This window comes from Homo sapiens, chromosome 18 (genome assembly GCF_000001405.40).
Source record: "Homo sapiens chromosome 18, GRCh38.p14 Primary Assembly".
Lineage (NCBI taxonomy): Eukaryota > Metazoa > Chordata > Mammalia > Primates > Hominidae > Homo > Homo sapiens.
The window spans coordinates 48,434,048-48,446,622 of NC_000018.10; the positions used below are offsets into that span (position 1 = coordinate 48,434,048).

The window sequence follows — 12,575 nt, forward strand, 5'->3', positions numbered from 1 at the left end:
AGAATCTACAAAAAACTTAAACAAATTTACAAGAAAAAAACAACCCCATCAAAAAGTGGGTGAAGGATATGAACAGACACTTCTCAAAAGAAGACATTTATGCAGCCAACAAACATGAAGAAAAGCTCATCAACGCTGGTCATTAGAGAAATGCAATTCAAAACCACAATGAGATACCATCTCACACCAGTTAGAATAGCCATCATTAAAAAGTCAGGAAACAACAGATGCTGGAGAGGATGTGGAGAAATAGGAACACCTTTACACTGTTGGTGGGAGTGTAAACTAGTTCAACCATTGCGGAAGACAGTGTGGGGATTCCTCAAGGATCTAGAACTAGAAATACCATTTGACCCAGCCATCCCATTACTGAGTATATACCCAAAAATTATAAATCGTTCTACTACAAAGACACATGCACGTGTATGTGTATTGCAGCACTGTTCACAACAGCAAAGACTTGGAACCAACCCAAATACTCATCAATGATAGAGTGGATAAAGAAAATGTGGCACATATATACCATGGAATACTATGCAGCCATTAAAAAGGATGAGTGCATGTCCTTTGCAGGGACATGGATGAAACTGGAAACCATCATTCTCAACAAACTAACACAGGAACAGAAAACCAAACATGGCATGTTCTCACTCATAAGTGGGAGTTGAACAATGAGAACACATGGACACAGGGAGGCGAACATCACACACGGGGGCCTGTTAGGGGGTGGGGGGCTAGGGGAGGGACAGCATTAGGAGAAGTACCTAATGTAGATGATGGGTTGATGAGTACAGCAAACTATCATGGCATGTGTACACCTATGTAACAAACCTGCACGTTCTGCACATGTATCCAAGAACTTAAAGTATAAAAAACAAAGCAAACAAAAAAACTTCCCAGACCTGCACAGCCAAATGTCTTCCCATTATGAAAGATGACTGCAATTTTCTTCTCTGGAGAGGATGAAACAGGAGGTTTCATGATTGGAGACTACCAGGAAGAGTTGGGGGCAGGGTCTCCCACTGAAAACCAGAGCATTAGTGAGTGTGTGTGCACTGGAAGCTGAAACCTTCAGCTCTCCAGAACCCAGGAGGACGGGAAGGAAACAATTTGATCAGCCCAGGAAGGAAAAACCTAAAGGTGCCGATATTGAAAATGTCCAAGATGACCTAGCCAGATCATCTCAGGACAGTCGCCACTCACATACCCAGATCTTCCAATCAGCTACTTAGGCCCCTTTAAGGACACAAATCAAAGATGTTCAGACAGGGAAGGAAAGCCACCAATATGAAAAATAGAGGCCCAGTTGAACTTAGAGAAAACTGAGATGATTCAGGAAGAAGAAAACTCTAAAAATGCTACAATTAATATCCTCAGAGACATAAGAGAAGATGTTGCAACCATAGGGTGAGGAGAGGTTATTATGAAAAAGAACATCCAGAGAAAAAACAAGGACTCTTGAGAATTGAAAATAATCATAATAGAAATGATTTAGTAGAATCGAAGACAAAGTTGATAAAAGACAGCAAAGAAAAAGAAATGGAAAATAGAAAAGGCAAGATAAGAAAATTAGAGGACTAGCTCAGGAGTTGCAATATACAAACTAGAGGAGTTCCAGGAAGAAACAGAAGTGAAAATAGAGGAGAAGAATTGCAGGAAGGAAGGAAGAAAAGAAGGAAAGAAGACAAGGAAGCCCTCCAAAATGGAAGGAGTTGAGTTAACAGGTTTAAGGACCTATCAAGTGCCCAGCACAATGGATGAAATAACATGATAAAGTTTTAGAATATTTAAATTTAAAAACATTGTTTTTAGAATGCTTTTACAATTTTAAGTGTTTTGCAAAGAAAAAAATAATCTACAAGCTTTCAAAGTTCAGAAAGGCCTTGGACTTTTCAATCACACTATTGGAAGCTTGAAGATGTTGGTCAAAACCGTCAAAATTCTGAAGCTTAAATCCTTCCAGTCTGGGACTCCACAATCCTCTAAAGTTCCAATCAATCAAGAAAAGGGAAGAAAGATATTTTTAGACATAGAAGGTCTCAAAATATTTCCCTCCCATGCACCCCTTTCCTGGAAGCTCCTTGAGGACAAGTGTCCCCAAAACTGGAAGGTAACACGATCATGACACAGAGATCCAACATGAAAGAGCTTTGCTGGTGGAAGAAAGGCCCAGGGTGACAGCTGTGCACCCAGCATAGAGACTTCCAGTCCATGTTGGAGTACATCAGAAATCTCCAGGGGAGATATCCTAGAAGAAGAAATTGTCACCAGATAATTGCAAAGGGAAGAATTAGACAATTGATGAAGGCTTCCAGATTGAATTAGATATGTGTAAGCTAAACAGGAACCAAGCAAACAAAAAAAGCAAGGTAATCATTACTTCCAGGAGAAACAAAAAATTGTGTGGAAAAAAAAGTCATCGTGGTTCACTACATGGTTTGGCTGTAAACAGGGCTTTTATGCAGTCATGTTCATGTTAACCCCAAAGCTTGATCTAACCAAAATTATGACATAACCAGATTGCCAGGATGGAGAAAGGGAAGGGTGCACATGAGTCGGAGGGGCAGAGAAATCCACAGTAGACTAATATTTAAAGCTCAAAGCTAGCCAGGCTGTGTGGCTCACACCTGTAATCCCAGCATTTTGGAAGGCCAAGGCGGGTGGATCACTTGAGGTCAGGAGTTTGAGACCAGCCTAGCCAACATGGTGAAGCCCTATCTCAACTAAAAATACAAAAATTAGTTGGATGTGGTAGTACGCATCTGTAGTCCCAGCTACTCAGGAGGCTGAGGTATGAGAATCGCTTGAGCCTGGGAGGTGGAGGTTGCAGTGAACCAAATTCGCACCACGGCACTCCAGCCTGGGTGACAGAGAGAGATTCCATAGAAAAAAATTAATTAAGAAAAATAAAGCTTAAAGCTTACAATTGAAAAATTAACAGGCAGCAAGGCAAGTTTCAACATATCATTCAGAGACATGGAAATACAGTCAAGGGTTGCCTAACAATAGGAATACATTCTGAGAAATGTGTGGTTAGACGATTTTGTTACTTGTGAATATTATAGAGTGTACTTACACAAACCTAGGTGGCACAGCCTACTACACTGAGGCTACGTGTTACAGCCTGTTGCTCCCAGGCTACAAACCTGTACAGCAAGTCACTGTACTGAATACTGTAGGCAAATGTAATACAATGGTAAGTCTTCGTGTATCTAAACATAGAAAAGGCACAACAAAATATAGTTTTATAATCTTATGGGACCACCATCACATATGTGGCTTGTCGTTGACCAAAAAAACGTCATTACATGGTATGTGACTGTAATTACCAAAATAATCAGAGCTGAAATGGTTGCCCCTGGGAAGGAAGAAATGGAGGGAAAGGTAGGGGGCTGCTGTTTTTCATATCAAAGCTTGTAAACTGATCTGACTTTTTAATCTATGCTTTGATTAAAATATAAAACTTTTAACATAAAATTAAGAAATAATTAAATGGTGGCAATAATGCTGCCTCTTATCACTCTACTGGGTCTGAGAAATTATAAATTGCCACATAAGTAAAAGGTATTTTTTGGCTAATGAAGCACAGCAGCAATGTGCAGGTCAGAATTTATCATCTGGTTGATATTTTGAAATGTCACAGCTCTGTCATGTACGCTCCATCTTCCAAGTTGTGCATAACTTGCTCCAAAATTGAGGAAACATTCACGCTCCACACACATACACACACACACTCTCTCACACACACACAGAGACAAGAATAGCCAAGGCAGTTGTATAATAAAATAGCAGAGGGCTTGCTTCACCAGATATTAAGACTTTGTAGAAAACAAAATGTTAATGAAGTATGGTATTGGCACAGAAGAAAGCAGCACACCAATAAAATCAAATAGAGGGGCCAAAGATACCCCAACACACAAATGGAGCCCCGAAAGTTCGCAAACACCGGGGAAAGCACACGCTGTAAACAAATGGGATTGGGGTGACTGGTTATCTAAATGGAAAAATTAACGTTATCTCTAATGTTCTATTTTGTTTTTTAAGGGAGAAGTGAAAACAGATAGTAAATACTAAGATTTCAGATTTTAGAAGCTGAGTAAGAGTTAGGTTGCAATGGTCTGAATATTTGTGTCTTCCTCCAAATTGCTGTGTTGAAGTCTTCACCCCCCAAGTGATGGTATTAGGAGGTGGGGCCTTTGGGAGGTGATTAGACCACAAGGGGTCATGATTGGGATCAGTGCCCTTACAACAGAGGCCCCCAAGAGCTGGTTACTCCCTTCCACCATGTAAGGACACAGCAAGAAGGCAAGGAGCCAGGAAGTGGGACTTCACCAGACACCAAATCTGCTAGTGTCTTGATCTTAGACCGCCCGTCCTCCAAAACTGAGAAATAAATCCAATAATGCTTCTACCTGTTAATATATGAGCCACCTGGTTTATAGTATTTTGGCATAGCAGCCTGGACAGACTAAGACATAAGTAAAAACAGAAAAGCAAAATTTGATATTGTGATATAATAAGAAATATACATTTATTCTCTGCCCCTGATTCCTGGCACACAGCTCCTAAAACCCTTGTAGATGGGGCACTAGAAAAATATTTGTTCTAATAATTGGTCTTTGACCATGATTTCTGACATAGAACTCCTAAGACCTTTGTAATTTCCTGAGTGACAGGAGTATCGACATAGAGCTCCTAAATCCTTTGAAATTTCTTGGGTGATAGGAGCATCTTTTGTTCTAATGAGGCAACTCTTGAAGGGCTCTTGGATGGCCTCAGGATGGGGGCTGGTTGCCAGGGGAAACAACCATGTGATTGGAGGGTTGGAACCTTCAGTCCCACCCCCTAAACCTCCAGAGAGGGTAGTGGGGCTGAAGGTTGAGTTGATCACTAACTAATGGGCAATGATTTAATCAACCAAGCCTGTGTAATGAAGCCTCCATAAAAACCCAAAAGAACAGGGTTCAGAGAGCTCTGGGTAGCTGAGCACGTGGAGGTGTCTGGAGGGTGGCACCCCCGGAAAGGGCATGGAAGCTCGGTGCCCCTTCCCACATATCTTGCTCCATACATCTCTTCCATCTTCTTCTGTATCCTTTGTAAAATCATTTATAATAAATGGGTTAATGTAAGTAAAGTGTTTCCTTGAGTTCTATGAGTCATCCTAGCAAATTAATTGAACCCAAGGAGGGGGTAGTGAGATTTATAACCAGTCGGTCAGAAGCACAGATCACAATCTGGGGCTTGTGTCTGGCCCCTTAAGGTAAGGGGCAGTCCTGTGGGACCAAGCCCTAACCTGTGGGATCTGACACTGTCTCCAGGAATTGTCAGAGTTGAGTTAAATTATAGGACACCTAGCTGGTGTGGCTACAGAATTGATTAGTTGATGGGAAAAACCCCACACACATTTTGGTGACCGCAGGGGAAGCATCCTGTGTTCTGAGAGTATATAGTAAGAGGAAAAAGAGTTTGTTTCTTTTTTTTCCCCCAGAAAAATTAAGCTTCACTGTGGGTGCTGTGTTGTTGATAGACTGAGAAGTGGGAGGTGAGAATCCAGCTAAGGGGAACAACTGGAGACTATTGCAACACCAAGGAGAAGAGACAACGTGTGTTTGAACCAGAAATGGTGGTGGGGATGTAGGGGAAGACTGGGTCCTGCAGACATCACTGAGGGCAACTTGACAAGACCTAACAACTCATTGGATTTCGATGATCAGAGAAAAGAGATGTCAATGGACTCCCAGGTATCCAGCCTTGGAGCCTGGAAGGATGTGCCAATGTTAATAGCTATAAGTAATACAGGCTTAACAGCTCTAGGTGGGTAACAATTGTTTCCATTGTGGATATTTTAGATCTAACACTGCTGCAGAACTGGTAGATGGAGATGTCCAATAAGTACAGTGACAAATGCAGGTCAAAAGAGAATTGGAGCTGGAAACATACTTGGGGAGTCCTTGGTGGGTGGAATTAAGTTCCCTGATATGTGCTCTCGAGACCCTCTCCCCACTTCCCATCATGGAGCTTGTCATGATGGATTGAAACCACTTGTTTTCTCTTTAGGCTGTGAATCCTATGACGATGGAGGCAGTCTTGTTCTCCACCGTATTCTTTGTGTCTGGACTGAGGACCTGGATTATTGAGGACCTAATAAAGCAAAGATGATCAAGAACAGGTTCTTAGGGAACATCAAAACTAAAGGGCTAGATAGCAAGAAAAGACCATCAAAGGAGCTGTCAAAGTAATCACCAGAGAAAGAGAAGCGTTATGGGATATGGAGTCCCTGGACCCAAAGAGAGAGAGAATTTCTAGAGTAGAGGGTGGTGCAGTGGTCAAGATGTTCTTGTCCTAGATAGCTTTTGCACCTGCCCCTTCCCAGCCCAGCCCTCTCTAGAGAAACCGCCCAGTGCACAGGTACCACACCTCTCCCCTTCTCCACAGAGGCTGATTAGACCAAGGATGGACACCTGACCCAAGGCTGTGTTCACTAGTGGTGAGGTTTTAAGGGAAAGTAGAGGGAGGGAGAAGTCAGTATCATGACAAGCCAAAGCCTTGTGACATTTACGAGTGACAGGGACTCTGGATAAACAAAGGAAACTCATAATGGACAGAAAGAGAGAATGAAGCAGACAGGCCATCTCCATTCCAGATAACTTTCCAGCTTCCAGCTTCAGCCCCTGCAAGACCCAGCCTCATCTTAGGTTTCATAGGATCCAATAAACTCCCTTTTTCTTAAGCTCATTTGAATGAATTTCAGTTCTTCCTACCTACCTGACTCCAACTAGAACTGTCTTTACATCTGCTATTTACATAATAATTTAAGGGAAATCAAAAGTCTATGGATTTAGAAAACTCTTTCCTTTAACTGGAGATCATCAGGAATCCTCCACTCATATTAAAAATATAATCTTCGCTTATAGTTGGAACACCCCCATTTCGAATTTTCAAGCTGGAGGAATCTCAGAATAGGACAGCGAGGAGGTTGACGGCCTGCAGTCATGTGCTAGTTAGTATCCTAGGAAGGACTCAATTACAGAATGCCTGACTCCAGTCCAGGGACCTTGCCACAACCTTACCCCATCCCCGCCACCCCTGGGCTCAGGGAAACAAATCCCAATTCATTGCTTAATCGGGCTGAGGACTCAGCCCCACCAGTCCTCCACCGAATCTAACTACAGGAGGAAATGCTCCAAGTCCTCGGCTGAGTTCTCCGTAGTCAGACCCCTCTGTCAGGAAAGTGGCTTAAATGAATTTAAACCCACCCAGGTTGGCCTGTGAGGGCTGTTCCATTAAAGCTGAAGGCCAGGCAGGATTCCGCTTGTTGAAATCTGTGTTCCTTTTGTACACTTTTAAAGTCACATCTGGTGCTGACCTTAGAAACAGCACTTGTGTGCTGAATGAATGCAGTGTGACTGCGTGTGCTCAGGGTTTTGGGACTTCTCTGAAAGGCGCTCCCAACCCTCCCAAACTGGCACAGGATGTCCGGCCGTGGTCGGCTTCCTCCACCGCGGCAGAGGATGCCAACTGAAACACGACCTCCTGCCAAGACTCTGGGACCACGCTCAGATCCAGGTCCCTGGGGGCAAAAGGCAGCTCTGTGCCAAGTTCTCCAAAGCCCGGCTCCTCCCGGGCTCTCATCCTGAAAGTGCTCTGGCCTCCTCTTTGGAAAAGGCCCATCAATCTTCTGAGGATTTCTGACACCGGTCGGAGCGCTGGAAACTGCAAGCCCTTCTCAGTCTGTCAGCTGCCTCACACTCTCCAGCCCGGCGAAGCTGTGTGCAGTGTCTGGAAAAGCAGTTACTGGTTTGGTTGTGGTCTGCCTTTGCAGCTGAGCTGGTTCCAAGTGCCACGTCCTCCACCGGCTGCTCTGGCCCAGGACACTCAGGAAAGGTGACAAGGCGGCCCCCTTGCACACTTGCCTGGAGCTATGCTCCCTCCATTTCTTGGAATCCAAGTATATTTTCTTTTGTGGAATGAATGAATACAAAGGGTGCCACCCCTTTGCCCAGCCCCCCATCTGAAATTCTTCCTCCAGCTGTCTCGATAGCGATGCTTGACAGACTGGAGGAGAATAGTTTGAATGAAGCTTCCCAGTGCAATATTTCCCTGGGCTTGAGTTGAATTGATCTAGCCTGTGATGCCATTTATCTTCACAACCTTCTTAGAGAGGAGCAGGGGAACAAATCTCTTTCGTTCGCATATGGGGAAACTGAGACTAAGGGAAGCTACAGAGACAACTGTAGGGAAAAAGCCAGCAGAGCAGGGCCAATCTGAGAAAATGCATGCTGATGAGATAGTCTTTTCCTGAGGGATTTACACAATCACTGGGCATAGAGGACAACATGGGAGGGGACTTAGGAAGAACTGGAGATGGGCCCCCTTACAAAATTCGTTTGGGTGAACTCAAATTTAAACGTGCACCCCCACCTCCAAGTCTGGTACTCTTGTGCTGGTGCCCCAAAACCTAGGACAGGAGATGGCAGCTCCAGCGAGGTTTCCCTGATCACTCCTGTCCCCATCCAGCCCTCCCCTCTAAGCTATTCTCTCAATCACAGCCTGAACCACCCTTCCTTCTTTATGGTTTTTTACTGTTTTCAAATTCATGTTGGTCTTCTCTCACTCAGCTAGATTACTTGCTGCTTCTCAAGGGATGGACTGTGCCCTAGATTTTAGAAACCCCAACCCTTCTGGGTTTTCTCTTTGTTTTCTCACTGTTTGCCAAATGATGGTGTCACACACACAGCCCCAGGGGCAGGATCAAAGAAGGCAGTCACTTGGGACTTGGGGGAAAGCAGTCTTGTTTTCCATGAGAAACAACCAGGGGGAGAAAAAAATCAATGTCTGAAATAACTGTTGAGAAAGAAGTGTGGCTTTCTCTTGGAGTCATAGAAAGTGGTTCTGATGTCAGCCTCACACGTAAGAGAATGGATCCAGGGTGAATCCCTAGTAGCTGGCTGAGGCTGACTCAACCCACAGGGAGCTGCCCAGCACATCAAGTATGTGGATTCTCCAGCAGCTACTCCTGCCAGAAACTTCTACCTGTGCCTATTATGCCCATGGCCCCATGATCTCCTGGAACAGCAACCCGAGGGGCCTACCTACCATGTTTCAGCCTCACAGCCAGCCAATTTCACCTCCCTGGCACTACCCATAGTAAATGCCATGAAGGAGACTCAGACTCAGGGGACCACAAATCTGCCCCATCTTGAGCAAATGATTTCCATTCTCTGGCTCTTGGTGTTAGTATCTTTGTAAAACAAAAAAATCAGACTAGCTGATCTGTGAGGGACCCTCTACCTCCAAAACTGCATTGTCTAGACTGGCAGGGAGTGTGTGGGTTTGGTTCTTATTTGGTTGGTTATCTTGTGTATGTCTTGGCCCATGCATGGCCACTTTGGCCCAGGGTGGAGAGCATCATTATCTACACCAAGTACTCTGTAACTAGAGAGTGACTATGTTGCTCCCCTCCAGGGAGGCCAGGGGTGGGCCTAAGGCATCCCAAAAGATGTGTGAAATGTCTTTGAAGTCAATAATTTCCCTTAGAAATTCATGTATATTTTGCATTCTTTTCTATATTATTACTGAGTTGCTTAATATAGGAATTTTTGTCCCCAAATCTTAGGATAAAGTGACCCTCCAGGAGGATGCTTCTTGCTAAAAGAAGCTTGTTTGAGCTTCCTGTAATGAACTGCTACATACTCCTGAAACGGGTTTAAGAAGCACTAATCTGGCCAGGCATGGTGGCTCATGCCTGTAATCCCAGCACTTCGGGAGGCCGAGGCAGGCAGATCATGAAGTCAGGAGATTGAGACCATCCTGGCTAACATGATGAAACCCTATCTCTACTAAAAACACAAAAAAATTAGCCAGGCGTGGTGGTGGGCACCTGTAGTCCCAGCTACTTGGGATGCTGAGGCAGGAGAATGGCATGAACCCAGGAGGTGGAGGTTGCAGTGAGCCAAGGTCACGCCACTGCACTCCAGCCTGGGTGACAGAGCAAGACTCCGTCTCAAAACAAAAACAAAAACAAAAACAAAAACAAAAAAACAAAAAAGAAGCACTAATAAGCACTAATCTGTGGGTGTTTGCAGGAACACCCAGGGCTGAAAATTCATCTTTTGATCCATCCAGGAATCCCTTCTCAGATATTCATCCTTTTCTGTTAAAATGCAAATTCCCTTGGGAAGGGGCTAAAAGTTAGAAAAAAACTGAGACAAATACAAAATTCTTTACTTGTGTCTGAGAGTCAATTACAGCAGGACAGTCCGTGGCTCTTTGGATCAGCAGTGGCTGGTGGCTGAGGATTTTGGTAAACTTCAGTTGAGTCAACACTGTGATTTGACTGTGTCCTTCAGAGCAAGAAGGACTTAGTCTCAGCACTAAGCAGGCCTCCTGGAGAACTGCATTCAGAGCTGGAACCATATGTCAGAGGGATTTGGACTAAACAGCAATGATCTGGACAGAGATCACGGACGTATGTCACATGGGGAATGAATGGAGAGATCAGGATGGGAGTGGGCTGGGAGATGCTCCCAATAGTCATCATGGGAATGGGTTTTTGATTTGTGTAGCTCCAAAGGGCAGAACCTAGACTAGCACTCCTGCATTTTAGGAGTGCAGATTTTAGCTCAGCAGAGGGAAGCCCAGCACCTTGTGAAATGGGGATGGGCTGCCTCTGTAGAAAGAGGGTGCCCTGGTCCTGGGAGAGTCCTCCTATCAGTGGGGTGCTGGAGGGTCACTGGGTTATGGGATCCTTTAAAAGGGTGAGGTGCACATGGAAACACAGCTTCTAGATCCCCTTCAGGGAAGGGCTCGCTATCCAGCTGTGGGGAGTGTGGTCCGCAGAAAGCCTCCAGGGTCAGCTCTTCAGGGTTGGCCTCCCCTGCAGGGAGCCTCCTCTCCTGGGGCACTTGCATCTGGTGACTGAGAGAGGTCTGGACAAGCACAGAAGCCTGGACATCTAGGCAAGAGCTAGGCTGGCTAAGGCTTTGTTTGGTCTGCCTCCCTGTTTGATGTCTTCTTCTGTACCCCAAACTCCATCCCAGTGTGTACTTGGGAAAAACTCTACCTGAGACAAAAGCATACAACATGGGATGGGTCATCCTGAGATTCTAGGGATCCTACTATTATTCGTCACTTACACCTGATTGTGAATAAATTCACTGAAATCTTTGCAGGGAACAAGTTTATACAGGTGTAGCTTAAGGAAACGAAAGGGAAAAGAGTCACAAGACAAGTAGGTTAAGAGATAAGGGACTGAAGTTTATGCTTTAAATGTGTGGATTATATCTCAATAAAATGTTCTTTTTTTAATGTTTAAAGAGAGAGAGAGAGAGAATGAAGCTGATCTAAGATGTCCAGACCCTCCCAGGCTGTGCTAGGGTACAGGTACTCTAGCACTGCAGCTGGGTATCAAGAACTGGAAGGACTTGTGCAGGACCCTTGGCTTCTCAGCAAGGCTGTCCCCACGAAGCAGATTTCACATACCCATAGCACACCCAAGGCATGGCTAGCATCCCTTGGGGGCTCTGCTGGCCCCACCATCACCACAGTGAAGCAAGGAGGAGCTCTCCTGCCAGCCACATCCCAAGGCTGCTATTGTGTCCTCCTCCAGCAGGGGTCAGCAGACTGTTTCTGTAAAGGGCCAGAGAGCAAACATTCAGTGTAGGTGGGGCAATATGGTCTCTGTTGCAACTGCTTAACCCTGCTGCTGTAGCACAAAAGCAGACATAGATAGTAAGTAAATGAATGTGCATAGCTGTGTTCCAATAAAACTTTACTTACAAAAACAGGCAACGGACCAGATTTGGCTTAGGTATATAGTTTGCTGACCGCCGTCCTAAAATCATGGACCTGCCTAGTTGGAAATAATCCCAGGCCACAGAACAGGAAGGTTTTCTCTACTTGGAATCCACAAAAGCATCATGTTTCTTGTCTTCCAGGCTTTGCTGGAGAAATGGAACCAAATGTTCTATATATGTTTGACATACATTAAAGTTCAACTGGGAACAGAGATTCACAGGATATGGTTCCTGCTCTTCAGGTCCCCATGTAAATAAGGAGGTAATTCTCATTCAGTGTGATAAACACATGGGAGATGTGGGTACATATGTGTATGTTTGGGCTAAAACCACCACTAGCCAATGTCGCCAGGGTTTGGATAATTAACTTTGGGGGCCTGGGTCAGTTGACCCTCATGGTGGTTAATAAAGTAGTATCTGTAGTCACTTCTAGCTGTGGTCTTTACACATCTACAGAGGACTTGCCTTTTTCTTTTTTCTTTTTAAATTATTTTTTCAAAATTAAAAAAAAAAAAAAACTTTAAATAGAGACAGGATCTCCCTATGTTGCCCAGGCTGGTCTTGAACTCCTGGGCTCAAGGGATCCTCCTGCCTCAGCCTCCCAAAGTGCTAGCATTACAGGCGTGAGCCACCATGCCCAGTCACCTTTTTCAAATTAATCTTGGAAACAAAAACATAATCCCAGTTTGACACTGAGACAGAGCCCACAGGTATTGTTTTGGTGCATAGGCCACAGAACCGGAGAGTTGTCACAGCCATTGCATGGGAAGGCCACGGGCT

The 12,575-nt window shown here is 44.7% G+C and overlaps 1 annotated feature.

Moving 5' to 3' along the window:
• Nucleotides 11,491-11,785: an enhancer, noted in NCBI's record as "tiled region #5458; K562 Activating DNase matched - State 12:CtcfO, and HepG2 Activating DNase unmatched - State 4:PromP". NCBI's record gives its function as "activates a minimal TATA promoter and a strong SV40 promoter by Sharpr-MPRA in K562 cells, with weak activation in HepG2 cells {active_cell/tissue: HepG2 | K562}" and the evidence as "EXISTENCE:reporter gene assay evidence [ECO:0000049][PMID:27701403]".